The 26,752-nt window shown below is 49.6% G+C and overlaps 3 protein-coding genes and 1 pseudogene across 12 annotated transcripts in view, besides 3 other annotated features; 2 read left to right on the top strand and 2 right to left on the bottom strand.

The window, feature by feature from the left end:
• Nucleotides 1,757-2,096: an enhancer, noted in NCBI's record as "active region_26053". NCBI's record gives its function as "activates an Ori minimal core promoter by ATAC-STARR-seq in GM12878 lymphoblastoid cells {active_cell/tissue: GM12878}" and the evidence as "EXISTENCE:reporter gene assay evidence [ECO:0000049][PMID:35858748]".
• On the top strand, nucleotides 1,841-6,744 carry CHCHD2 (coiled-coil-helix-coiled-coil-helix domain containing 2). Of its 2 annotated transcripts, none has more exons than NM_016139.4 (4): nucleotides 1,841-1,953; nucleotides 3,842-4,091; nucleotides 5,306-5,450; nucleotides 6,456-6,744. In NM_016139.4, the coding sequence occupies exons 1-4, from the start codon at nucleotides 1,904-1,906 to the stop codon at nucleotides 6,464-6,466; spliced, it is 456 nt and encodes a 151-aa protein (NP_057223.1). In that variant the 5' UTR covers nucleotides 1,841-1,903; the 3' UTR covers nucleotides 6,467-6,744. The 2 variants fall into 2 exon arrangements, with proteins under 2 accessions (NP_057223.1, NP_001307256.1); NM_001320327.2 differs by having other exon boundaries at nucleotides 5,306-5,454.
• Nucleotides 3,441-3,941: an enhancer, noted in NCBI's record as "H3K4me1 hESC enhancer chr7:56172069-56172569 (GRCh37/hg19 assembly coordinates)". NCBI's record gives its function as "activates a minimal SCP1, AML or CMV promoter by ChIP-STARR-seq in naive H9 embryonic stem cells {active_cell/tissue: H9 hESC(naive)}" and the evidence as "EXISTENCE:reporter gene assay evidence [ECO:0000049][PMID:30033119]".
• Nucleotides 3,942-4,442: an enhancer, noted in NCBI's record as "H3K4me1 hESC enhancer chr7:56171568-56172068 (GRCh37/hg19 assembly coordinates)". NCBI's record gives its function as "activates a minimal SCP1, AML or CMV promoter by ChIP-STARR-seq in naive H9 embryonic stem cells {active_cell/tissue: H9 hESC(naive)}" and the evidence as "EXISTENCE:reporter gene assay evidence [ECO:0000049][PMID:30033119]".
• Nucleotides 7,565-7,658, bottom strand: LOC124901852 (uncharacterized; annotated as a pseudogene).
• The window catches only part of PHKG1 (phosphorylase kinase catalytic subunit gamma 1), a 12,658-nt gene continuing 1,270 nt past the window's right edge, over nucleotides 15,365-26,752 (top strand). The window contains exons 1-10 of one of the 8 annotated variants that reach the window (XM_017012324.3): nucleotides 15,365-15,481; nucleotides 19,342-19,458; nucleotides 20,541-20,719; nucleotides 21,293-21,347; nucleotides 24,602-24,667; nucleotides 24,876-25,039; nucleotides 25,376-25,510; nucleotides 26,064-26,154; nucleotides 26,271-26,424; nucleotides 26,562-26,687. In XM_017012324.3, the coding sequence (XP_016867813.1) occupies nucleotides 19,376-19,458; nucleotides 20,541-20,719; nucleotides 21,293-21,347; nucleotides 24,602-24,667; nucleotides 24,876-25,039; nucleotides 25,376-25,510; nucleotides 26,064-26,154; nucleotides 26,271-26,424; nucleotides 26,562-26,687 (1,053 nt within the window). In that variant the 5' untranslated portion in view covers nucleotides 15,365-15,481; nucleotides 19,342-19,375. Of the gene's footprint in view, nucleotides 15,482-19,341; nucleotides 19,459-20,540; nucleotides 20,720-21,292; nucleotides 21,348-21,897; nucleotides 24,512-24,601; nucleotides 24,668-24,875; nucleotides 25,040-25,375; nucleotides 25,511-26,063; nucleotides 26,155-26,270; nucleotides 26,425-26,561; nucleotides 26,688-26,752 lie in introns of those variants that run through there. The other 7 variants (NM_001258459.2, NM_001258460.2, NM_006213.5 and 4 more) reach the window with 7 other exon arrangements.
• Nucleotides 20,371-26,752, bottom strand: part of SUMF2 (sulfatase modifying factor 2) — a 23,661-nt gene continuing 17,279 nt past the window's right edge. For both annotated transcript variants that reach the window (XM_047420120.1, XM_047420122.1), the window contains one exon: nucleotides 20,371-20,655. The gene's annotated coding sequence lies outside the window, so the exon portion shown is untranslated. The remainder of the gene's footprint in view (nucleotides 20,656-26,752) is intronic.

Genomic DNA, 26,752 nt, shown 5'->3' with positions numbered 1-26,752 from the left:
TTATTATTTGTAAAGCATTCATTCTTTTAAGAAGTTATGTAAAAATAAAGCTTTGTTTTTTACAAAAGATTTTTATATAATTCACCCTTTTTATTGTTTGAAATCTTTTTATTTCAATACTTTTGGGGGAACAGGTGGTGTTTGGTTACATGGAAAAGTTCTTTAGTGGTGATTTCTGAGGTTTTGATGCACCCATCACCTGAGCAATGTACACCGTACTCAACAGTGTAGTCTTTTATCCCTTACCCACCTAGCACATCCCTCCAAATCCCCAGAGCCCATTATATCATTCTTTTGCCTTTGCATCCTCATAGCTTAGCTGCCACATTATTCACCCTTTAGTTCCAAGTACATTCTGCTGTTGCTGGGACACAGGAAGGCTGTTTTAAACTCTACTTCCTCTGATGGAAGGGAGAAATTTCTGATTGACATCAAGCAGAAATGGTTCCATGTGTGCTTCCTCTCCTCAATAAACCTCACTCCAACCGCAAGGGACTTTCCCATGAGCCCCTTATGAAATGCCACTAGCCAAATTTCCCCTTATTTTAGCGATGTTTAATGTAACTGTTGAAAGCATTTCAGGCTGGGCCTGGTGGCTTATGCCTGTAATCCCAGCCCTTGCAGGCCGAGGTAGATGGATCACCTGAGGTCAAGAGCTCAAGACCAGCCTGACCAACATGGCGAAACCCTGTTTCTACTAAAATAAAAAATTAGCCAGGCGGGTTGACGTGCGCCTGTAATCCCAACTACTCGGAAGGCTGAGGCAGGAGAATCGCTTGAATCCGGGAGGCGGAGGCTGCAGTGAGCTGAGAACGCGCCACTGCACTCCAGCCTGGGCGACAGAGCCAGACTCCGTCTCAAAAAAAAAAAAAAAGCATTTCACACCAAGTATCACTAAAGCACAGATCCTTGGGGCCTTTGCAATTGCTGTTCTCTCTTCCTGTAGTGTTCTTATCTTCATAAACACATGGCTTGCTTCCCCACCTCTTCAAGGGCTCCGTTCAAATGACTCCCCCCCGCCCCGCCTAACCTCTAATTTCCAGTCTCCTTCCTCTCTTTTCATGTCACCACCACCTGATTTACGTAGGCGTTTGTGTCTCCCCTCCTTGAAACTTAACTTCGTGAAGGTAGAATCTTATCTGATTTGGTGCAGTATCTCCATAACCCAGTTAGACAGTAAATTTTTGTTGAATTTACCAGTGTATGGTTACTGTCCCAATTCTGGACACAAATTCTATAATACATATGAAAAGGAGCTGAAAATATATAGTAATACATAAATGTAAAACATTATTGCTGCCTGAATTTAACTTTTGCTGACTGGATCCACAGACAAGAAAGAGAAATACCAAATACAACTAATTCAACTCTGTTTATTTTTGACGAAACCGATTTCTTTCATTCAGTTCATACTACGCGTCCACACTGTGCCTCCAAAAATATTTGCCCTTATAACTGAATGCTCAGAAAGGCTAAGAAATCTGCCCAAGGTCCCCTGGCAATCCAGCCAGAGATGTGAGTCACTCTTAAGGTTGGATTTAATACAAATGTTTGAAGGACGGAGCGACAGGCCAGCTGCCCTAGGGAAGCAAAATGCTAAGTGCTCTGATGCGAGGACCGGAGGACAAGGTTCGCGGATGAACCACAGGAACTTCCGGGTTTTAAAGATCCTGGCGCCAAGTTCAGGGCGTTGACCGCGAAGGACGAGGCGTCCCCGTGACGTCCTGCTCTTCCAATGAACTTCAGGCCTGCGGAGACGACGGAGAACGGAAGTTCTCTGCCTGTGTGCTGGTTGGTTGCGCGTTGAGGCCAGCCCCGCCTCCCATCTTCCGGTCTCCTCAGAAGTCGCTTAGCTCTTCGGTGGTTGTCCCACGTCCGGAGGCCTAGCCGTCGCTTACCTAGGATGCCGCGTGGAAGCCGAAGCCGCACCTCCCGCATGGCCCCTCCGGCCAGGTGAGACCATCGCAGGGTTTGAGACCAAAGCGCGGCCGTCCGGACTCTACTGGGGCAATGACGCAGAGGGAGGCCGCGGGCGGGGGTGAACTAAGGTCGGCTGCGGCGTGGGCTCGCCTCTGCCAGGCGGGGGTAGATTGAACGTAAAGCCTATGTTAGGGGAGTGTGGGGAGGGAATTCACTTACGGAAAAAGCTTCCTATCCAAACAACGGGAAAGGCATAACGTTATGGCCAGGTGGTAGGAAGGCATAAATTTTGACCTAGCTTGATTTCGGGGAAAAGAGCACCCAAGGAAATAATCCGGAAATGGTCAGAGGGAGCGTGATACATATGAAGATTTTTAAATACGTGCAGGACATAATTAGTCTTTTGTTATTTGAGAAGGGGTCTCGAAATTGTTGAAAGCATCTGAACGTTGAACAGATGAGGAATAGTTGAAGTTGCTTTTGGTATAATAGTTCAGACGAGTCACTTTGGCCAGTCTTGTTTTGTAATGTGTAAAATGAAGGAATTGGACTAGATTATTTCCCCAGTTGACCATCTTTAAGTCCTAATTAGAATGTTTATTTATTTATATTTTGAGTCAGAGTCTAACTCAGGCTGTAGTGCAGTGACGTAATTATGGCTAACTGCAGCCTTGACTTCCTGGGCTCAAGCTATTCTACCACGTCAGCCTCCAGAGTAACTGGGACTACAGGCATGCGCCACCTGTGCACCACACTTGGCGACTTTATTCTATTTTATATTTTAGCAGAGACAGGGTCTCATTATGTGGCCCTGGCTGGTCTCAAAGTCCTGGCCTCAAATGATCCTTTCGCCTCCACTTCCCTAATCACTGGGATTACAGGCAAGAGCCACCACTCCGCAGCCTATGTTAATTATTTGATCCGTCAATAAAATGTAAACTCCATGAATGCAGAGATTTTTGTCTCTTGTTCACAGTTACATTACCAGCGCCTTGTAGTTACCTAATACTTGAATGAATGAATCCTGTAAGAATCTTTCTAACTTTTAGTAGTCTGTATTTCTTATGACATGTTGGATATGTCTTTAAAGATACTGTGGGCTATCCGAATACATGGAAATTGTTGCAAAGAAGCAGAAAAAACTAGTATGTCCTAGGCTATTACTATTATAAGAAAAGATTAAAGTGGCCGGGCGTGGTGGCTCATGCCTGTAATCCCAACACTTTGGGAGGTCGAGGCGGGTGGATCACTTGAGGTCAGGAGTTCGAGACGAGCCTGGCCAACATGGTGAAACTCCGTCTCTACTAGAAATACAAAAATTAGCTAGGTGTGGTGGTGCGCGCCTGTAATCCCAGCTACTTGGGAAGCGGAGGCAGAAGAATCGGTTGAACCCAGGAGGCAGAGGTTGCAGTGAGATTGGATCGTGACACTGCACTCCAGTCTGGGCATCAGAGTGAGGCCCTGTCTCAAAAAAAAAAAAAAAATTAGGCCGTGCGTGGTGGTTCACACCTGTAATCCCAGCACTTTGGGAGTCCGAGGCGGGTGGATCACCTGAGGTCAGGAGCTGGAGACCAGCCATGGTCACCATAGTGAAACCTCGTCTCAACTAAAAATACAAAAAATTAGCCGGAGGTGGTCGCGGGTGCCTGTAATCCCAGCTACTCGGAAGGCTGAGGCAAGAGAATCGCTTGAGTCTGGGAGGTGGAGGTTGCAGTGAGCTGAGATTGCACCATTGCACTCCAGCCTGGGCAACAAGAGCGAAGCTCCATCTCAAAAAAAAAAAAATTGAAGAGAGAAAATGATGTAAATAATTTGAAATGAAAATCTTGAGGTCCATTTTAATATGTAAGTTATTTTAAGTTGACAATTTCCAAAACTGGTTGGAATTGGGAACTTGATGTTTTTTTCTTTTCTTTCACAGCCGGGCCCCTCAGATGAGAGCTGCACCCAGGCCAGCACCAGTCGCTCAGCCACCAGCAGCGGCACCCCCATCTGCAGTTGGCTCTTCTGCTGCTGCGCCCCGGCAGCCAGGTCTGATGGCCCAGATGGCAACCACTGCAGCTGGCGTGGCTGTGGGCTCTGCTGTGGGGCACACATTGGGTCACGCCATTACTGGGGGCTTCAGTGGAGGAAGTAATGCTGAGCCTGCGAGGCCTGACATCACTTACCAGGTGGGAATTTAGGCAGCATTTCCCTTCCATGGGTGGATTTTATGAGAAAAGCCAGACGTTTGTAAGTTCCTTAAGTGTAGGAATTGTCTTTGATTTTAGAACCCACTGTGCTGTTAATAGACAATGGGTTTTAAAGCCACATTTGGCCGTTGAGTTACTGCCTTAGGCCAGCACCAACAAGTACTGTACAAATTGTGTTTCTTCCCAAGGAGGAGACTTACAACAGTCCACTTGACTCACTGTAAAACAACCACTTTTCCCTTTGAATATTTCATCCCAGTGACACTTCCTACTAATCTTGTCTTGATCTTAGTTAACAAATCAAAAATCTCGCATAGCTGTGTGTTCTTTTACGTGATGTTTGCCATTACCCATCTTTCTGATGTGTGTGGGCTTTCTAGTCTAATGAGCATAGGTGTGTATACTCTTGTATTTCCGGTGTGCTTGAAACTGCTCCATCCAGTTTTCTATAATAGTACCATTTTTCCTCCCTGAAGCTTCAGTAAACCATTTAGTCTTGATAACAAGATAATAATTCCACTTTATTTGCATCTTTATTTAGGAATCTTTCTGGTTGTAATTGGAATTTTGTTAAAACTGTTGGCTTTCAGCTTTTAAATATTTTCACTTTTGGCTGGGAACGGAGGCTCATGCCTATAATCCCAGCACATTGGGAGGCTGAAGTGAAGGGATTGCTTGAACCCAGAAGTTTGAGACCAGGCTGGGCAACATAGCGCAACCCTGTCTTTACTAAAAATATTTATTTAAATTCTTCTTTTTTGGAGGTGGAGTCTCGCTCTGTTATCCAGGCTCCACCGCCCGGGTTCAAGCGATTCTCCTGCCTCAGCCTCCCGAGTAGCTGGGATTACAGGTGCCTGCTACCACGCCTGGCTAATTTTTGTATTTTTAGTAGGGACGGGGTTTCACCATATTGGCCAGGCTGGTCTCAAACGCCTGACCTCAAGTGATTCACCCTTCTCGGCTTCCCAAAGTGTTGGAATTACAGGCGTGAGCCACCATGTTTGGCCTAAAATATTTTTTAAGTAAATGAAGATTTAAATGTTTTCACTTCCCATGTTAATAGTTGGAAACTTTAATTAGCATCTGGTGCTAGTTCCATTTTCCATTAACCTCAAAGAGGATGGATACTCTTCATTGTCTAGGCATAAGTATGATTTTCTTTCTCAGCAATGTTGAATGTTTTGCCTTTGCAGGAGCCTCAGGGAACCCAGCCAGCACAGCAGCAGCAGCCTTGCCTCTATGAGATCAAACAGTTTCTGGAGTGTGCCCAGAACCAGGGTGACATCAAGCTCTGTGAGGGTTTCAATGAGGTGCTGAAACAGTGCCGACTTGCAAACGGTAGGTAATTTGTCCAATTTACATCTGCTTAATTCACAGTGGAATTCCTGGATCCTGTAGAACTTAGGGTAATCTGTGTTTAATAAATTAGAGAAGACTTTGTTGAAATTTCTCTAGAATTAACTCCTAACAACTGGGCCGGAGGTTTCTAGTCATTTTTATGAGTAATTTTCTGAATTTTCTTCCTTTAGAAGGTATAGGCCAGGCACAGTGGCTCACGCTTGTAATCCCAGCACTTTGGGAGGCCAAGACGGGTGGATCACCTGATGTCAGGAGTTTGAGGCCAGCCTGGCCAACATGGCAAAACCCCATCTGTACTAAAAATACAAAAAATTAGCTGGGTGTGGTGGCAGGCACCTGTAATCCCAGCTACTCAGGAGGCTGAGGCAGGAGAATTGCTTGAACCCGGGAGGCGGAGGTTGCAGTGAGCCAAGATCCTGCCACTGCATTCCAGCCTGGGCAACTGGGTGTCTCCAGTGGGAGACACTGTCTCAAATTTAAAAGAAAAAAAAAAAAAAGAAGGTATAAATCAGTATGCCAGATCTTACTGTGATTACTGGATGTAAGTGACCTTCTAACCTTAAGGCTGCGAATATAAGATTAGATTCTGTTTTCACCAAAATCCAGGAATAGACAAAAAGACTGATACCTGGTATCTGTACCTCATTGAGTGAAAGGAGTTAATTAAGTTCCTCAGGGGAACTCCGGAGATTCAGGGTGTCTTGTTAGTTGTAGGATGCCTTCAGTAGCTTACAAACAAAACCATAACCTTCCTGGAACCCAGCACTCTGGAAGGCCAAGGTGGGAGGATTGCTTGAGTCCAGGAGTTCGAGACCAGCCTGGGCAACATAGCAAGACCTCATCTCTATTTTTTATCAAAAAAAAACAAAAAACAAAAAACCCATAGCCTTGGCCTTTTGTCGCTGCTTTCATAATTTGGAAGGCTTCTGTTTTATTGAGTATACGAAGCTAGCATTCTTCTAACTTAATCTTTTCTGTTTGCAGGATTGGCCTAATGAAGAAGTTCAACCTGGAGAGATGGAAAATCAGCTCTCATAACTAAGTTAATTTAGTATAAAAATAGAATTGATAGTGAGGGTATAAAGTGTAACCATCAGTTAAACCTCTCCTGTCATTCCTGGCTTCCTTGCTTCAGAATTGAAATGGAAGTGGGGGTGTCCCTACTCTGTAGAATCTGGGACTGGGCAAATGTTTGTGTGGCCTCCTTAAACTAGCTGTTATGTTATGATTTTATTCTTTGTGAGTTAATTAGAATAAAGTCATTTTCTTCCAAGGTATGGTTCATTTAGTCTATAGTCTCTGGTTATGAAATTAGCATCCTCCCAGATCTGACAGCTCCCTGAGGGGTTATATAAGGAGTAGCTCACTTGCAAACATAACATGCTGCTCAATTCAAAGGTTCTAGCTGCTGTGGGTCTGGAGTTATGTAAGCTGAGCAGTAGCAGGAAACTCTGCTTAAAATATTGTTTAAAGCTGTGCGTGCTGGCATGTGCCTGTAATCCCAGCTACTTGGGAGACTGAGGCGGGAGAATCACTTGAACCCAGGAGGTGGAGGTTGCAGTGAACTGAGACCATGCCACTGCACTCACTGACAGAGCAAGACTCTGTCTCAAAAAAAAAAAAAAAATACATTGTTTTAATCAGGTGAATGATAAAGGAAACAGGAATAGGTCTATTTGGGGTGGGTTCCCTGTGGCTAGGTCAGCACTGCGTATCACTATTCCTCTACTGTTTCCAAGCAAGCTTGTGCAACCCACCTTTTGTTCTGTTTTCTTTTGCTTTAGGCTTTTAGCAGCCTGGAGTTATAGTTTGTCTCTAGTGATAAGTGGAAAAGAGCGATGAGGAAGGGGTTTTACTGGCCTAACCATAAACTGTAACTAAACCCATGACTGCATTCTCTCCCTTGGACGCCCCTGATTGAAGATAAAAAACCATTCTTAATATATGCAGTTCCCCTGAAGGTGCTTTTGCTCTGTTTAAGGTGTTGTAGCCTCCTCTTCCTAAAACACTCAGGCTAACTGCCATCCCCCACTCCGTGCTAGGGAAGAACTTTAAGGGGATGGAATTCAATTTGGAGTAGGCCACTTTTTTCATGTCAGATGGGTAGTGTGTCAATGCAACCAGTTTTGAGGGAGGCACACTTCATGAGTGTGAAAACCCTGTCATCACACTTAACTACAAAAGGATCAGCAGGTCTTTTTTTTTTTTTTTTGAAGTGAGCAGCAGAGATGGTTTCACTATGTTGATCAGGCTGGTATAGAACTCCTGACCTCAGGTGATCCCCCAGCCTCGGCATCCCAAAGTGCTGGGATTGTAGGCATGAGCCACCACACCTGGCCTCCGTAGGTTCTGTTTTCTGATTTTTTTCTGAGTTTCAGAGCCCTGCATCACTGCCAGGTGAGTGAAATGCTGGTGATTGAGGGAATTAGCCAGTTGCTGTCTCGCCTCCTATCAGCTGTGTTCCTGGAGTGCCTAAACATTCAGTTCCTGAAAGAGGCTCCCTTTCAGAAAGAGGGTCTCAGCACAGTTCACTCCTGGCCAGTTCCCCGGCATATTCCCTCCTGGGTTTATAGAAGACACTTTTGCTAATTTTCCTGGAGGCTCGGGACCTCTGTGAGTCTGTAGTGTTAATGCTCAGATGTCCCTCGTGTCCAGGTGTAGTGGTGATTCAAATAAATTGAATCAAAGAAAAATGACGAAATGTAAGCGTGACTGGCCAGGCCTACTCCCTGGTAGGAGTCATTGCTACAAGGAGAAAGGTGTGGAATAATCCTCTAGGTGCACTGGCCTTTTGCCCTAAAGTCAGAAAGGATTTTGTGATGCATTCATTGATTGTCCAGTTGGCGCTCCAATTCCCTGAGTTTGGTGTCCATGGATTCAGCCAATCGAGGATTGAGAATATTTGAAGTCTGTGCAATAAAGTGAGATCCCTACAAAAAATAAATCAGCCAGGTGCAGTAGCATGCACCTGTAGTCCCAGCCACTAGGGAGGCCGAGGTGGGATCACAGAAGCCCAGTTCAAGGTTGCAGTGATCTATGATCACACCACTGAACTCCAGCCCAGAGTGAGACCCTGTCTCAAAATAATTTTTTGGAAAAATTCATGGTCATTTTTGTAGGAAACATGTAGACTATTTTCCTTGTCATTCCCTAAACAATACAGTGTAACAACTTTACATCCTGTTTATGTTATACTAGGTATTATAAGTAATCTAGAGATGATTTAAAGTATACAGCAGGAAATGCATAGGTTATATGCAAATAATGTGGCATTTTATGTAAGGGATGTGAGCATCCGTGGATTTTTGTTATCCATAGGAGCCTTGGAACCAATCTTGGAAGATACCTTAGAAACCAGCAAGAGTCAAATCTGTAGCTTAGAAATGTGAGGGAGAAAATAGGTTTTTAATGGTAAATTAGGCAGGGCGCAGTGGCTCATGCCTGTAATCCCAGCACGTTGGGAGGCTGAGGAGGGCGGATCACCTGAGTTCAGGAGTTTGAGACCAGCCTAGCTAACATGGTGAAATCTCATCTCTACTAAAAACACAAAAATTAGCAAGGCATGGTGGTGGGTGCCTGTAATCCCAGCTACTTGGGAGGCTGAGGCAGGGGAATTGATTGAACCTGGGAAGCAGAGGTTGCAGTGAGATGAGATTGTGCCACTGCACTCCAGCCTGGGCAACAGAGCAGGACTGTCTCAAAAAAAAAAAAAAAAAAAATTAGCCAGGCCTGGTGGCACACACTTGTAGTCTCAGCTACTCAGGCTGAGGCAAGGAGAATTGCTTGAACCCTGGATGCAGTGAGCCAGGATCGTGCTACTACACTCCAGCCTGGGTGACAGAGTGAGACTCTTCTCTCAAAAAAAAAAAAAAAAAAAAAAAAAGCAAATTAGACCTGGCACAGTGGCTCATGCCTGTGATCCCAGCACTTTGGGAGGCCGAGGTGGGTAGATAACCTGAGGTCAGGAGTTCAAGACCAGCCTGGCTAACATGGTGAAACCCCATCTCTACTAAAAATAAAAATAAATTAGCCAGGTGTGGTGACGTACGCCTGTAATCCTAGCTACTCAGGAGGCTGAGGCAGGAGAATCGCTTGAACCCGGGAGGCAGAGGTTACAGTGGGCCAAGATTGTGCCATTGCACTCCAGCCTGGGCTACAAGAGTGAAACTCTGTCTCAAAAAAAAAGAAAAAACAATTGCTGGCCATGGTGTTGCCCGCTTTTGGTCTCAGCTATTCAGGAGCCTGAGGTGAGAGGATCTCTTGAGTCCAAGAGGTCAAGGCTGTAGTGAGCCATGTTTGCGCCACTGCACTGCAGCCTGGGCAACAGAGCAAGACCCTGTATAAAAAGCAAAAAAAAAAAAAAAAGAGAAAACAGTAAGTTAAAGAGTTCCAGGTATTTAAAACCTTGCAGAATTTGTGTTTCAATGTGTTGCATTTCAGTAAGTTGGAGGTTTTTATGCTTAGCACTCATTCCCTGAAGTATTTTTCAGCTCTTTTGTATGTAAACAATTCAACAAAAATTTTCCCCAAAGTGAAAGAAATAGATGGTCAGCATTATTATTATTATTTTTTTATTTTTGGGACAGAGTCTAGCATTATTATTATTATTATTATTATTATTGAGACCGAGTCTAGCTCTGTCACCAGGCTGGAGTTCAGTGGTGTGATCTCGGCTCACTGCAGTGCCTCCCGGGTTCAAACAATTCACCTGCCTCAGCCTCCTGAGTAGTTGGGATTACAGGCATGTGCCACTGTGCCCAGTTAATTTTTGTATTTTTAGTAGGGACGGTTTCACCATGTTGGACAGGATGGTCTCAATCTCCTGACCTCATGATCCGCCCACCTCAGCCTCCCAAAATGCTGGGATTACAGATGTGAGCCACCGCACCCAGCCAGATGGTCAGCATTATAAGGAACTGCTGGCGCCCACAACATCTGGGGTTAATCTAGGCTCTCTGACTCACCTACTTGGCAACCTTGACCAAGTCACAATCTCTCTAAAATTGGCTTAATACCAGGGTTTCGTTGTCCAAGTGAAACTGTATGAAGTGCTTTGTAAAATGTGTATCAATTAGGTATCTGTGGTCAAGTGTGGTTTCTCACACCTGTAATCCCAGCACTTTGGGAGGACCAAAACAGGAGGATTGCTTAAGCCCAGAATTTTGAGACCAGTCTAGGCAACATCGTGAGACCCCTATCTCTTGTTATTTTATTTTTTATTTTTTTTGAGGCAGAGTCTCGCTCTGTCACCCAGGCTGGAGTGCAGTGGCACGATCTCGGCTCACTGCAACCTCTGCCTCCCGGGTTCAAGCAATTCTCCTGCTTCAACGTCCAGAGTACCTGGGACTACAGGCACCCACCACCACGCCGGACTAATTTTTGTTTTGTTTGTTTGTTTGTTTGTTTCTTGAGACGGAGTCTCACTGTATTGCCCAGGCTGGAGTGCAGTGGCGCAATCTCGGCTCACTGCAAGCTTCACCTCCTGGGTTCACGCCATTCTCCTGACTCAGCCTCCTGAGTAGCTGGGACTACAGGCATCTGCCACCATGCCCGGCTACTTTTTGTATTTTCAGTAGAGACGGGGTTTCACCATGTTAGCCAGGATTGTCTCGATATCCTGACCTCGTGATCCACCTGCCTCGGCCTCCCAAAGTGCTGGGATTACAGGCGTGAGCCACCACGCCCAGCCTAATTTTTGTATTTTTAGTAGAGATGTGGTTTCACCATGTTGGCCAGACTGGCCTCGAACTCCTGACCTCAGGTGATCCGCCCACCTCAGCCTCCCGAAGTGCTGGGATTGCAGATGTGAGCCACCGCACGCAGCTCCCATCTCTATTTTAAAAATTAAAAATACATACAAAATTAAAAACAGCCAGGTGCCATGGCACGCGCCTGTAGTGCCAACTACTCGGGAGGCTGAGGCAGGGGAATCACTTGAACTTGGGAGGCGGAGGTTGCAGTGAGACAAGATCTCACCACTGCACTCCACCCTGGCAACAGAGGGAGACTCCACCTCAAAAAAAAAAAAAAGAAAAAAATTAAAAACATATTTGTGGGCTCAGATCATGGGTAAAGCACTGTCTCCCCTACGTTCACCCCTGCCATCAATTTGGAATATTAGGAGTTTGGAAAAAGGTAGTTTTAGAATGAGAGGGAACAATGAAAACTAAGTGTCCACTGTGTGCCTGCATGCTGCACAGTGCTGCCAGTTTTGTCAACTCCCTGTAAGGTAGACTCATACTGATGAGGACCCTGGCAGGAAGTCACATGCACCGAGAGACCACGTTTTTCCTGGCATATGAAACTCCTCACAATAGAAACTGCAGGCTGAAAATGAAATGGGTAAGGAAAGTTCTTTAAAAAAATAAAAATAGGGCTGGGGGTGGTGGCTCACACCTGTAATCCGAGCACTTTGGGAGGCCAAGGCAGGCGGATCATGAGGTCAGGGGTTCAAGACCAGCCTGACCAACATGGTGAAACCTCGTCTCTACTAAAAACAAAAATCAGCTGGGCGTGGTGGCACGTGCCTATAGTCCCAGCTACTCAGGTGGCTGAGGCAGGAGAATCGCTTGAACCCGGGAGGCAGAGGTTGCAGTGAGCCGAGATTGCGCTACTGCACTCCAGCCTGAGTGACAGAGTGAGACTCTGTTTCAATAAATACATAAATAAAATAATAAAAGTAAAAGGCTGGGCATGGTGGCTCACGCCTGTAATCCCAGCACTTTGGGAGGCTGAGGCGAGCAGATCACCTGAGGTCAGGAGTTCGAGACCAGCCTGTTCAATATGGTGAAACCCTGTCTCTACTACAAATACAAAAATTAGCCGGGCATGGTGGCAGGCATCTATAATCCCAGGTACTCAAGAGGCTGAGGCAGGAGAATCGCTTGAACCCGGGAGGCAGAGGTTGCAGTGAGCCAAGATCGCACCGTTGCACTCCAGCCTAGGTGACAAGAGTGAGACTCCATCTCAAAAAAAAAAAAAAGAAAGAAATACAAAAATTAGCCGGGCATGGTGGCTTGCGCCTGTAATCCCAGCTACTCGGGAGGCTGAGGCAGGAGAATCGCTTGAACCCGGGAGGCAGAGGTTGCAGTGAGCCAAGATCGCACTGTTGCACTCCAGCCTGGGCGACAAGAGTGAGACTCCATCTCAAAAAAAAAAAAAAAAAAAAAGAAATACAAAAATTAGCCGGGCATGGTGGCTTGCGCCTGTAATCCCAGCTACTCGGGACGCTGAGGCAGGAGAATCACTTGAACCCCAGAGGCGGAGGTTGCAGTGAGCCAAGATGGCACCACTGCAGTCCAGCCTGGGCAACAGAGCAAGACTCCATCTCAAAAAAATAAAATAGGCCAGGTGTGGTGGCTCACGCCTGTAATCCCAGCACTTTGGGAGGCTGAGGCAGGCGGATCACGAAGTCAGGAATTCAAGACCAGCCTGGCCAAAATGGTGAAACCCCGTCTCTACTAAAAATACAAAAATTAGCCTGGCGTGGTGGTGCGTGCCTGTAATCCCAGCTACTCAGGAGGCTAAAGCAGGAGAATCATTTGAACCTGGGAGGCGGAGGTTGCAGTGAACCGAGACCGTGCCACTGCACTCCAGCCTGGGTGACAGAGCAAGACTCTGTCTCATAAAAATAAATAAATAAAATAAATAAATAAATAAAATAAAATAATAAAAATAAAAGGCCAGGCATGGTGGCTCACGCCTGTAATCCCAACACTTTGGGAGGCCAAGGCGAGTGGATCATCTGAGGTCAGGAGTTTGAGACCAGCCTGGTCAGCATGGTGAAATCCTGTCTTTACTAGAAATACAAAAATTAGCCAGGTGTGGTGGCAAGCATCTGTAATCCCAGGTACTCAGGAGGCTGAGGCAGGAGAATCGCTTGAACCTGGGAGGCGGAGGTTGCAGTGAGCCGAGACTGTGCCATTGCACTCCAGCCTGGGCAACAAGAGTGAGACTCCATCCCCCAAAAAAAAGGGCCAGGCACGGTGGCTCACGCCTGTAATCCCAGCACTTTGGGAGGTCGAGGCAGGCGGATCACCTGAGGTCAGGAGTTCGAGACCAGCCTGACCAACATGGAGAAACCCCGTCTCTACTAAAAATACAAAATTAGCCAGGTGTGGTGGCACATGCCTGTAATCCCAGCTACTTGGGAGGCTGAGGCAGGGGAATTGCTTGAACCCGGGAGGCGGATGTTGCAGTGAGCCAAGATCACACCATTGCACTCCAGCCTGGGCAACAAGAGCAAAACTCTGTTTCAAAAAAAAAAAGAAAGAAAGAAATACAAAAAATAGCCGGGCATGGTGGCTTGCGCCTATAATCCCAGCTACTCGGGAGGCTGAGGCAGGAGAATCGCTTGAACCCCAGAGCCAGAGGTTGCAGTGTGCCAAGATCACACCACTGCACTCCAGCCTGGGCAACAGAGCAAGACTCCATCTCAAAAAAATAAAATAGGCCGGGTGTGGTGGCTCACGCCTGTAGTCTCAGCAATTTGGGAGGCCAAGGCGGGCAGATCACCTGAGGTCAGGAATTCGAGACCAGCCTGGCCAACATGGCGAACGAAACCCCATCTGTACTAAAAATACAAAAATTGCTCGGTGTGGTGGCGGGCACCTGTAATCCCAGCTACTTGGGAGGCTGAGGCAGGAGAACCGCTTGAACATGGGAGGCAGAGGTTGCAGTGAGCCGAGATCATGCCACTGCCCTCCAGCCCAGGCAACAGAGCAAGACTCCGTCTCAATAAAATAAAATAAATAAAACACATAAATAATTTTAAAAACCCACACATCTGATGTAAGATTAAAGGAAGGTTTTTTTGTTTTGAGACAGGGTCTCCCTTTGTCACCCTGGCTGGAGTGCAGTGGCATGACTTCGGCTCACTGCAACTTCCGCTTTCCAGGTTTAAGTGATTCTCCTGTCTCAGCCTCCTGAGTAGCTGGGATTACAGGTGTGCACTACCACGGCTGGCTAATTTTTGTATTCTTGGTAGAGATAGGGTTTCATCATGTTGTCCAGGCTAGTCTCGAACTCCTGACTTCAGGTGATCCACCCGCCTTGGCCTCCCAAAGTGCTGGGATTACAGGCATGAGCCACCGTGCCTGGCCTTAAAGGAAGGCTTTTTAGATGAAATTATGGAGGGTAGATCAGAGGTGGATTCCTGCAGGGGAAGGTCCCTTATTGATTGATTGATTGATTCAGACTGAGTCTCTGTTGCTCAGGCTGGAGTGCAGTGGCATGATCATAGCTCACTGAAGCCTTGACCTCCCAGGCTCAAGTGATCCTCCCCACTAAGCCTCTTGAGTAGCTGGGACCACAGGTGTGTGCCACTACACCTGGCTAATTTTTTAATTTTTTTGTAGAGCCAGGGTCTCACTTTGTTGCCCAGGCTGCTGTCAAACTCTTGGACTTAAACAATCCTCCCGCCTCGGTCTCCCAAAGCGCTGGGTGTGAGCCACTGCACCCGGCCTCCCTAACCTGTACAGGTCTGCATTATGTAGGGTGATCATGCACACTGTCCCTGCGACAGCCCGGGCAGTCAGCTGCTGCAGTCATGCATTGAGAAAGTCTCCAGGGCAGTGCTCTCAGCATACGTGGAAATCAAAATTGCTCCCAGAGAAGCAAGTGCCCTCCGCACAAGGCTGGATTTACGTTCTCTGGGCCTGGAGGCCAAGGGAGCTCCAGAGGGGAGACTGATCACTCTTACATCCTGTCTGGCCTGGTCTCAGGCCACACAAGCTTCCCTCACCCTCCACCAGAGGTCCCCCACCTTCCGCCCGGAGACTGGGCTCCATGCCCTGTCCCTGCGGAGCCTTGGCCTGCCTCCCGGGTTTGCAGTTGTGATTTATTTTTGGCACGTTAGCCTCCGGTCATCAAATAGCAAAACCCAAAACAACAGCAGATGATATCTTCCAAGTGTCTGCTCGGGACACGGCTTCAGCCCTCTGTGGTCCCCTCTCCCCGGGGGGCTTTGGGATTCTTGTCAAGCTCCTTCAAGAGCCTGCAAGCACTTAACCGTGAGTAGCTAGCCCAGTGATGGACAAAAGCCAGGTGATAGGCAGGGAGCGGGGAGGACTGGGGGTGGAGAAGATAGAAACCCCCACATCCATTCCATCCATGTCTCTTTTCTGAAGGCGGATGGACCAGGGAGAGTGGCAGCATTGACCCTTGAAACCTCCATCTGCAGGAATTTTCTACAGAAAAGAGGTCCCCGGGACTGATCTGGTTTTTGGACTCAGAGTTCAGGGGAGGGAAGTTATGTGCCAAAAAGTACCAGGCCAGGCAGGCGCGATGGCTCATGCCTATAATCCCAGCACTTTGGGAGGCCAAGGTGGGAGGGTCACTTGAGGTCAGGAGTTCAAGACCAGCCTGGCCAACATGGTGAAACCCCATATCTACTAAAAATACAAAAATTAGCTGGGTATGATGGCTCGTGCCTGTAGTCCTAGCTACTCAGGAGGCTGAGGCAAGAGAATCGCTTGAACCCGGAAAGCAGAAGTTGCAGTGAGCTGAGATCTCACCACTGCACTCCAGCCTGGGCGACAGAGCGAGATTCTGTCTAAAAAAAGGACTGGGCCACCTACTCCCATGTGGTGACCCTGTCCACAGGGGTCTTGGGAAAGGTGTGAGGGGTGGGTGGGGCAGTAGACAGAGGCACAAAGTTGGCCCCAGTCAGAGCTGGGGCTGGGGCAAGATAACCGCCTCCTCAGCCCCCCAGGAAAGGTGAGTGCAGCCACAAGTTGGCCAAGCTGGCTGTGCCAAGGACTGGAGGCTTGCGCCTAGGCTGGCATCTCATATGGGGGTCCAAGTGTACTTTCTGCTCATGGAGGGCTGGGGGAGAGGAGAGAGCTAGCGCTACCCAGCTTTGGGAGGTGATGAGGCAAAGGTGCCCATTGTGAGGACTTAGGACTTACCAGCAAATGGGCTTGTTTTTATGGGAAACAGACAGTCCCGGGCTCCGCCAAGTTGCTGATGGGGCAGGCAGAGAAGGCCTGTGTGTGAGCAGCCCAGGGGCCTGGCACCAGCAGAGGGGACTTGTTATTCTAAACCTTCTTCTGGTAACCAGGCACCCAGTAGTGGGGCCACCAGGATTCCTGGAACAGCCTGCCCAATCCCGGAGGCAGCCAGAGCTGCTGTTGGCTGGTCAGCAAATTGGCTCCTTTGTGAGACCAGGCCTTCTTAGGCCCAGAAGCAGTGGGGGAAAGGGGGTTGGAGGCAGCTTTGGCACTGCTGAGTGGCAGGTTGGGCCTATTTTCTATCTGCCCTTTTCCCTGTTGGTTTTCTGCATTCCTCAAATCCTGCATCTGATTTTGTTTTGTTTTGTCTTTTTTTTTTTGAGATGGAGTCTCACTCTGTTGCCCAGGCTGGAGTGCAGTGGCATGATCTCAGCTCACTGCAAGCTCCACCTCCCGGGTTCACACCATTCTCCTGCCTCAGCCTCCTGAGTAGCTGGGACTACAGGTGCCTGCCACCACGCCCGGCTAATTTTTTGTATTTTTTAGTAGAAACAGGGTTTCACCGTGTTAGCCAGGATGGTCTCGATCTCCTGACCTCGTGATCCTCCTGCCTCGGCCTCCCAAAGTGCTGGGATTACAGGCATGAGCCACTGCGCCCAGCCTGTTTTGTCTTATTTTTTGAGACAGAGTCTCACTCACTCCGTCACCTAGGCTGGAGTGCACTGGTGCACTCTCAGCTCACTGCAACCCCACCTCCTGGGTTCAAGTGATCCTCCTGCCTCAGCCTTCCAAGTAGCTGGGACCACAGGCCCGAGAGCCATCATGCCTGGCTAATTTTTGTATTTTTTGCGGAGATGGGGTCTCGCCATGTAGCCCAGGCTGGTCTCGAACTCCTGACCTCAAGTGATCTGCCCACCTCAGCCTCCCAAAGTGCTGGGATGACAGGTGTGAGCCATCACGCCACGCCTAAATCCTACATCTGAAGCAGGAGTTGAGTTCCCTGGTAGGAGCCTCCATGTTCCTGACACAAAGCGGGGTAGCTCAGCGCCTCTGTGTACAGGCCTGAGTGTCCTGGCTCTGTACTGCCTCTATCCTGCAGCAGGACCCCTCAGGGCTCACTGGCCATTGTTAAGTAGGACATGGGGCATTCTTCCAGCAGGACCCTGAGCCAAAGGGGTACCTGCCCAACCCTTGACTCACATTCAAGGTATAGCCCCTGCCGGACACCTGCACTGGGTATGGGGGGCAGAGATGGCTAGGACATCCTAGAGATGATAATCTAGTGGGGGAGGTGACAGCATACACTGACAAGTGACACCAGAGGCGGACCAGGATGGACCCACCCAGCTCTCCATCCCTCAGAGCACCCAGCATGGTGGTTGGCAAAGAGTGGGTGTTCAGTGTCTGCAGAATGGAGATGTAATGAATGAGTGAGTGAGTGATTATGAAAGTCCCAGTTATGGATAGAATACATGAGGAAGGGCCAGGTGCAGTGGCTCATGCCTGTAATCCCAGCACTTTGGGAGGCCAAGGTGTGTGGATCATTTGCAGTCAGGAGTTTGAGACCATCCCGGCCAACATGGTGAAACTCCATCTCTACTAAAAATACAAAAATTAGCCAGGCATGGTGGTGCATGTCTGTAATCCCAGCTATTCTGGAGGCTGAGGCAGGAGAATTGCTTGAACCTTGGAGGTGGAGGTTGCAGTGAACCAAGACCACACCACTGCACTTCAGCCTGGGTGACGGACTGAGACTCCGTCTCCACAAAAAACACCAAAAACAAAAACAAACAAACAAAAAAACATGAGGAAGGAGCAGTGGGATGGAGTGCAGGAAGCCTGTCCTAGAAGGGGGTGTGTTTTCAGAGAACACAGTCACAACAAGGGGAGATAAGGAGAGGCTACAGGAGTGGCCTATTTAAAAGGAAATTGTGGCCAGGTCCAGTGGTGGTTCATGCCTATAATCCCATCTCTTTGGGAGGCTGAGGCGGGAAGATTGCTTGAGGCCAGGAGTTTGAGACTAGCTTGGGCAACATAGGGAGACCCCGTCTCTACAAAAAACTTAAATATTAGGGCCTGGCATGGTGTTTCACGCCTTTAATCCCAGCACTTTGGGAGACCAAGGTGGGAGGATCACCTGAGGTCAGGAGTTCGAGACCAGCCTGGCCAACATGGCGAAACCCTGTCTCTAATAAAAATACAACAATTAGCCAGGCGTGGTGGTAGGTGCTTGTAATTCCAGCTTCTTGGGAGGCTGAGGCAGGAGAATCGCTTGAACCTGGGAGGTGGAGGGTGCAGTGAGCTGAGAGCCAAGATTGTGCCACTGCACTCCAGCCTGGGGGATACTTTAGTCCTAGCTACTCAGGAGGCTAGGGTGTGAGGATCGCTTGAGCCCAGGTGGTTGAGCCGGCAGTGAGCTATAATCGTACCACTGCACTCTGGTACAGAGATGGGTAACAGAGCATGACCCCATCTCTACAAAGATTTTTTTTTTTTTGAGCCGGAGTCTGGCTGTGTCGCCCAGGCTGGAGGGCAGTGATGCGATCTCGGCTCACTGCAACCTCTGCCTCCTGGGTTCAAGCGATTCTCCTGCCTCAGCCTCCCAAGTAGCTGAGACTACAAGCGTGTGCCACCACATCCGGCTAATTTTTGTATAGTAGAGATGAGGTTTCACCATGTTGGCCAGGCTGGTCTCGAAATCCTGGCCTCAAGTGATCTATCTGCCTCAGCCTCCCAAAGTCTGGGATTATAGGTGTGAGCCACCACGAACGGCCTCAATTCACAAACATTTATTTGGAACATTCACTATAGGCCAGTGTAGTGCCAGGAGATGTAAGGATGAGTGAGAAACAGTTCCAGACCCCAAGGAGAACAGCCCCTGGGTCAGGAAGGCTGACAGCTTCTTTCTTTTCCCCTCTCAGAGCCACCCAGAGTTCCCTCACTGAAGATCTGAGCATGACCCGGGACGAGGCACTGCCGGACTCTCATTCTGCACAGGACTTCTATGAGAATTATGAGCCCAAAGAGATCCTGGGCAGGTAAAGCCCAAGCTTTCCCCACGAAGTGCTGTCCTAGGCTCCAGCAGACCCTGTGGGCTACAGCCAGCTCTGCTCCACCCCGAGTACTAACGCCACTTTCATCCCCAAAGTGCTGTTCACTTGGAGAAACCCTTTGTTTGGGGTCCTGCCCTCCTGAAGCCAGGACAGATAAGAGAAACCTCTCCCAGCAAAAAGTTCCCAGGGGCAGGCGCAATGGCTCACACCTGTAATCCCAGCACTTTGGGAGGCTGAGGTGGGAGGATTGCTTGAGGCCAAGAGTTCAAGATCAGCCTGGGCAACATAGCAAGACCCCGTATCTTTTTTTTTTTTTTTTAAGATAGGGTCTTGCCCTGTCATCCAGGTTGGAGTACAGTGGCATGATCTTGACTCACTACGATCTCTGCCTCCTAGGCTCAAGTGATCCTCCCACCTCAGCCTCCCTAGTAGCTGGGACAACAGGTATGTGCCACCAGGTCTGGCTAACCATCTCTATTTTTTTTTTTAAAAAGGGGGGGCCAGGCACAGTGGCTCATGCCTGCAATAGCAGCACTTCCTGCAATACCAGGGAGGCCAAGGCAGGAGGATCACCTGAGATCAGGAGTTTGAGACCAGCCTGGCCAACATGTTGAAACCCCATCTCCAGTAAAAATACAAAAATTAGCTCTGTGTGGTGGCAGGTACCTGTAGTCCCAGCTACTCAGGAGGCTGAGGCAAGAGAATTGCTTGAACCCGGGAGGTGGAGGTTGCAGTGAGCTAAGATTGTGCCACTGCACTCCAGCCTGGCAATAGAGCGAGACTCCGTCTCAAAAAAAAAAAAAAAAAAAGCACTGAACGGCTCAAAAAGGAAAAAAAAAAAAAAAAAAGAGTCACACGGCCTGAGAGCAGGCTTGTTACTCACCAGTTCTGGGCAAATCACCTGTCTGTGCCTGTATTTATTCATCCACCATTTCCAAAAGCTCAGAGGAAGTTGGGGGAAAGTGTAAATCTCTGTCAAGGGCAGGACATCTCTGCTGCAGCCTCTAATCTGGGACCCCCCATGGGGTGAGGGGCCCCCCGAGGCCATCTGTCCTCTGCACTCCCAGGGGCGTTAGCAGTGTGGTCAGGCGATGCATCCACAAGCCCACGAGCCAGGAGTACGCCGTGAAGGTCATCGACGTCACCGGTGGAGGCAGCTTCAGCCCGGAGGAGGTGCGGGAGCTGCGAGAAGCCACGCTGAAGGAGGTGGACATCCTGCGCAAGGTCTCAGGGCACCCCAACATCAGTGAGTGATGGCCCCAAGCCACACGGCAGGGTGCCCCCCTGTGATTCTGCCCTGACAGCCCAAGCCAGGGAGTGTGGCCCCACCGCACAGCCAACTAGAACCACCCAGGCTCAAGGCTCCCAGCTCCACCCTCACTGCTCTGATAGAAGGGGTCCCAGGCAGGGATGGATGCAGGCAGGGGAATGGGGGTTTGATGTCCCTGGGCTGAATTAGCCAGGCATGCTGGTGCATGCCTGTAATCCCAGCCACTCGGGAGGCTGAAGCAGGAGCATCACTCAAGCCCAGTAGTTTGAGGCTGCAGTGAGTTATGATTGCACTATTACACTCCAGCCTGGGTGAGACAGTGAGATCCTGTCTCTAATAATAATAATAATAATAATAATAATAATAATAATAATAATAAAGTCCCTGGGCCTGCCCACATCCCAGGTTGACGTCTTTGAGCACCCTCCTGATTCCCCTGTCAGCTTTTGAAGTTAGCCCACAGCAGCCTCGGTCCCTGACCCCCGTGCCCCGGCTGCCCCTGCCTGGGCTCCCCTGCTACTTGAGACAAGCTAGCCATTTCCATTTCAGTACAGCTGAAGGACACTTATGAGACCAACACTTTCTTCTTCTTGGTGTTTGACCTGTAAGTACCCAGCACTGGAGCAAGCCACACCTGAGAGAACCTCCGACTGCTGTCCCCTCCCCAACCCCAGGGCTGCCTGGAGACCACAGCCAGCTCCTGCGCTGAGGATGCCAAATACAATCACGGTGTTTAGACAGATCAGCCCCTGGGGTCAGGCTGCCGGCTTTGGAAACCTGGGTTCACCACTTGTGGGCTGGATCATTTCTTTAAATCTTGGTTTTCTCATCAGTATTATGGGAGTGATAATAGCACAGTGACTGGCATAGTGTGAATACTAATAATTATTAGCTACAGGCGGGCGCAGTGGCTCACAACCGTAATCCCAGCAGTTTGGGAGGCTGAGGCCCCAGCTACGCGGGAGGCTGAGGCAGGAGAATCGCTTGAACCCAGGAGGCGGAGGTTGAAGTGAGCCGAGATCACGCCGTTGAACTCCAGCCTGGGCTACGAGAGCGAAACTCCATCTCAAAAACAAAAACAAAACAAAACAAAAAAAACCCCAAAACTCTTGGCCTCACGTGATTCTCCCACCTCGGCCTCCCAAAGTGCTGGGATTACAGGCATAAGCCACCGTGCCTGGCACAGTATAGTGATATAATTGTTCTATTTTATTATTGGTTGTTAGTCTCTGACTGTGCCTAACTTATAAACTTCATCTTAGGTATGTACATATAGGAAAAACATAGTAAGTATAGGCTTCAGTGCTATCCATGGTTTCAGGCATCCACTGGGGGTCTTGGAACATATCCTATGCAGATAAAGAGGGATGACTGTAGACATATATAAAGTAGAACAAGGGGTTAGCAAGAGACAGGGGCTTCCTTAGACCGAGTGGTCAGGAAAGCATGTCCAGGAAGTGACCCAAGCAGAGGGTGGCAGGATGTAAGGTCGGTCAGCACCAAAGACCAGGTCCTGCAGGCATTTTAGCCATAGTAAGGAGTTTGGAGGGTCAAGACTGGGAGGGTGACATGATCTGATTTACTTTTTTTTTTTTTTTTGAGACAGAGTTTTGCTATTGTCGCCCAGGCTGGAGTATAGTGGTGCGATCTCGGCTCACTGCAACCTCCGTCTCCTGGGTTCAAGTGATTCTCCTGCCTCAGTCTCCCAAGTAGCTGGGATTACAGGCACCCACCACCATGCCCAGCAAATTTTTTATGTGTGTACTGTTTTAGTAGAGACAGGGTTTTGCCATGTTGGCCAGTCTGGTCTCGAACTCCTGACCTCAAGTGATCCACTCGCCTCGGCCTCCCAAAGTGCTGGGATTACAGGCGTGAGCCACTGCGCCCAGGCTGACTTCCTTTTGAAAAGATCTCACTGACTATCTAGGGACGACTGTAATGAGGCGGGATTGGAAAAAGGGAGGCCAGCAGTATTGAGGAGAGAGGCAGGTGGTAGAGGTTGCATCTGGGGTGTGGTCCAAAGATCAATATCATCATCACCATCACCACCATCATCACCATCATCATGCCCCTGCTTTGGCATCAATAGGATTAGTAAGATGAGCCCCTTATTTCTAAGCATCAAATGTGAACAATACAAAGTGCTCTGTGAAATGCAAATTCCAGACTTATCATGGGCCAGGCACAGTGCCTCACACCTGTAATCTCAACACTTTGGGAGGCTGTGGTGGGAGGATTGCTTGAGGCCAGGAGTTTGAGACCAGCCTGGGCAACAAAGTGAGACCCCATCTCTACAAAAAAATATAAAATTAAGGCCAGGCATGGTGGTTCACCCCTGTAATCCCAGTACTTTGGGAGGCTGAGGCAGGCGGATCAGATGAAGCCGGGAGTTCGAGACCAGCCTGGGCAACATGGCAAAACCCCATCTCTACAAAAAATACAAAAGTTAGCCCAGGATGGTGACAGATATCTGTAATCCCAGTCACTCAGGAGGATGAGGCACAAGAATGGCATGAACCCAGGAAGCAGAGGTTGCAGTTAGCTGAGATCGTGCCACTGCACTCCAGCCTGGGCAACAGAGGAAGACTTTCTCGGACCCCTCCAGACTCACCAGCTGCAGCTGTCTCGACTGCTCTGTGGCACTGTCCTGTATAGCCCTTGGGGACAGCTCAAATGTCTTTAACCTTTGAAGAAGTTGCTGGGGGAAGCTATTTTTAATGCTGCCCTGAGGAGCCCTCCAGGGTATAACTAGATTGTTCTAGCAGAGTCCTTTCTAGATCATCCCAGGAGGTAAGAAGATTGAACCTCAATTCTTAATCCTGTAATTGGCAAACTTTGCTCCTGCAACTCTTGCACAGCCGATTCTTCCCATTTGTTTCCTGGGAAAAAATCGGGATACTCGGCCAGGCGTGGTGGCTCACGCCTGTAATCCCAACACTTTGGGAGGCTGAGACGGGTGATCACCTGAGGTCAGGAGTTGAAGACCAGCCTGGGCAACATGATGAAACGCTGTCTCTACTAAAAATACAAAAATTAGCTGGGTGTGGTAGTGGGCACCTGTAATCCCAGCTACTCGGGAGGCTGAGGTAGGAGAATTGCTTGAACCTGGGAGGCAGAGGTTGCAGTGAGCCGAGATTGCATCATTGCACTCCAGCCTGGGTGATGAGCAAAAACTCCATCTCAAAAAAAAAAAAAAAAAAAAATCGGGATACTCACGTCCTTCTGATCTGGGTCTGGGGTCCTGGGCCAGTGGTTCATAGTCCCCTCTTTCAGCCTCCAGCCATCATTTAGGCCCCGATACATCCCAGTCCACACTGTCACTTCCACAGATGGGAAGACACTGATACAATGGAGATGGAACAGAAATGGTGCTTGGGCTGGGACTCTCCCAAGTCCACCAACTTCAGGGCCCAGGGCAGGGCAAGGTACTGCTCACAGGGCCACCAGCTCGGGGCCCATTGCTTCCCTGGTCACTTCTAGCCATCCTGGCCTGGAACTAGGGTAATGGGAACCTGGGGAGGGGACTTAGCTGAAGAAATGCCTACCTCATGAAATGGTGGGAAAAATTTTTCCAGGGGAAAAATTCAGTCAGGGGAGAAACCTAGGCCTATTCCTCGGAGGGTTGATGAGAGCCTGAGCCCCTGATGTGGGCCACCTCTCCAGCCTCCTCTGCTTTTCTCCCAGTTCTTCCAGAACACTTCTCACTTCCCCGGCTCCTCTCCCCAGACTGTGGTTCTCCACGGAGAGTGGCCCACTTAGCTTCTAGAGGTATCAGGGTGGAAGGCAGCTCTCTGGGAGCAGGGTAAGGGCAGTGGTGGTCTTGGGACCGATCCAGCTATCAACCCTCTGTTTCCACAGGATGAAGAGAGGGGAGCTCTTTGACTACCTCACTGAGAAGGTCACCTTGAGTGAGAAGGAAACCAGGTGAGGGTCCCTTTGCCCTTCTCTCCGCTCCCTCCCACGTGGCTTAGGGCCACAGGCACTGGGGTCTCAGGGGAGGCAGGGCGTGCACATGTCTGGGCTGGGCGTGTGTGCTGCTCCCTTGCAGTGTGGCTGAAATGTGAGCTGTGTCTCCCTGCCTGTTACCTGACCCTGAGCAGAGGAAGAGTAACAAGTGTGTGCCCCACCCTAGAAAGATCATGCGAGCTCTGCTGGAGGTGATCTGCACCTTGCACAAACTCAACATCGTGCACCGGGACCTGAAGCCCGAGAACATTCTCTTGGATGACAACATGAACATCAAGCTCACAGACTTTGGCTTTTCCTGCCAGCTGGAGCCGGGAGAGAGGCTGCGAGGTCTGGTAACATGGCCTTGGCCCACGTCCAGGCCTCGGGTGCTCAATCAACCATCTGCAGAATAGAGATGGTCTGGGTTTCTCCCCTAACTTAATTGTTCCCTGGAATAAAAATTCCACCATTTCAAGGGCTAGGGATTTTTTTTTCTTTTTCTTTCTTTTTTTTTTTTTTTGAGATGGAGTCTCACTCTGTCGCCCAGGCTGGAGTGCAGTGGCACAATCTCGGCTCACTGCAACTTCCACCTCCCGAGTTCAAGTGATTCTCCTGCCTCAACCTCCTGAGTAGCTGTGATTGCAGGCACGCGCCACAACGCTCGGCTAATTTTTGTATTTTTAGTAGAGACAGGGTTTCACCATGTTGGTCAGGCTGGTCTCGAACTCCTGACCTTACGATCCGCCCGCCTCGGCCTCCCAAAGTGCTGTGATTACAGGCGTGAGCCACCATGCCCAGCAGGGCTAGGCATTTCTTCAGGTAAGTCCTCTCCCAGGTTCCCATTACCCTTGTTCCAGGCCAGGATGGCTAGAAGTGACCAGGGAAGCAATGGGCCATGAGCTGGTGGCCCTGTGGGCAGTATCCCGCCCTGCCCTGGGCCCTGAAGTTGGTGGATGTTGGGGGAGTCCCAGCCCGAGCGCCATTTCTGTTCCATCATCTCCATTGTCTCTTTGGACTTCCTCTCTTTTTTTTTTGAAACAGAGTCTCACTCTGTCACCAGGCTGGAGTGAAGTGGGGCGATCTCAGCTCACTGCAAACTCCACCTCCCAGGTTCAAGCGATTCTCCTGTCTCAGCCTCCTGAGTAGCTGGGACTACAGGCACATGCCACCACGCCCAGCTAATTTTTGTATTTTTAGTAGAGATGGAGTTTCGCCATGTTGGCCAGGCTGGTCTCGAACTCCTGGCCTCAGATGAGCCACCTGCCTCGGCCTCCCAAAGTGCTAGGATTATAGAAATGAGCCACTGCGGCCAGCCTGGACTTCCTCTTCTGAGTGCCCTGCTGACCTGCCCTGATGATGACTGTTCCTGCAGAGGTCTGCGGGACCCCCAGTTACCTGGCCCCTGAGATTATCGAGTGCTCCATGAATGAGGACCACCCGGGCTACGGGAAAGAGGTGGACATGTGAGTGCGCCGGGAAAGGAGGAGCACCCAGCTAGGCTGGGCAAGGGAGGAAGTAGGCAGGGCTGGGCCGGTGCCCCTGGCGCTGGGTAAGTGGCCCTGGGCCCTCGCATGTCCAGGTGGAGCACTGGCGTCATCATGTACACGCTGCTGGCCGGCTCCCCGCCCTTCTGGCACCGGAAGCAGATGCTGATGCTGAGGATGATCATGAGCGGCAACTACCAGTTTGGCTCGCCCGAGTGGGATGATTACTCGGACACCGTGAAGGACCTGGTGAGAGGCCAGGCCAACTGGCTCCTGGGCTCAGGGCTGCGATGCCAGGCGCCCCTGCCCGGGGAGGCCCTGCCTTTCCTGACATGCTGGAGGGGACCTGCCTTGACATTCTCGGTTCCCCTCTCCTCCTCTCACAGGTCTCCCGATTCCTGGTGGTGCAACCCCAGAACCGCTACACAGCGGAAGAGGCCTTGGCACACCCCTTCTTCCAGCAGTACTTGGTGGAGGAAGTGCGGCACTTCAGCCCCCGGGGGAAGTTCAAGGTACTAAGCGTCCTGATCCAGGCCCGCCAGCTCCCTAAGTGCAAACCTCTAAGCCCCCTCCTCTC

The sequence above is a fragment of the Homo sapiens genome, chromosome 7, assembly GCF_000001405.40.
Source record: "Homo sapiens chromosome 7, GRCh38.p14 Primary Assembly".
Lineage (NCBI taxonomy): Eukaryota > Metazoa > Chordata > Mammalia > Primates > Hominidae > Homo > Homo sapiens.
The sequence above is the reverse complement of the archived record's forward strand: the minus strand, read 5'-3'. Positions and strand labels throughout refer to the sequence as shown.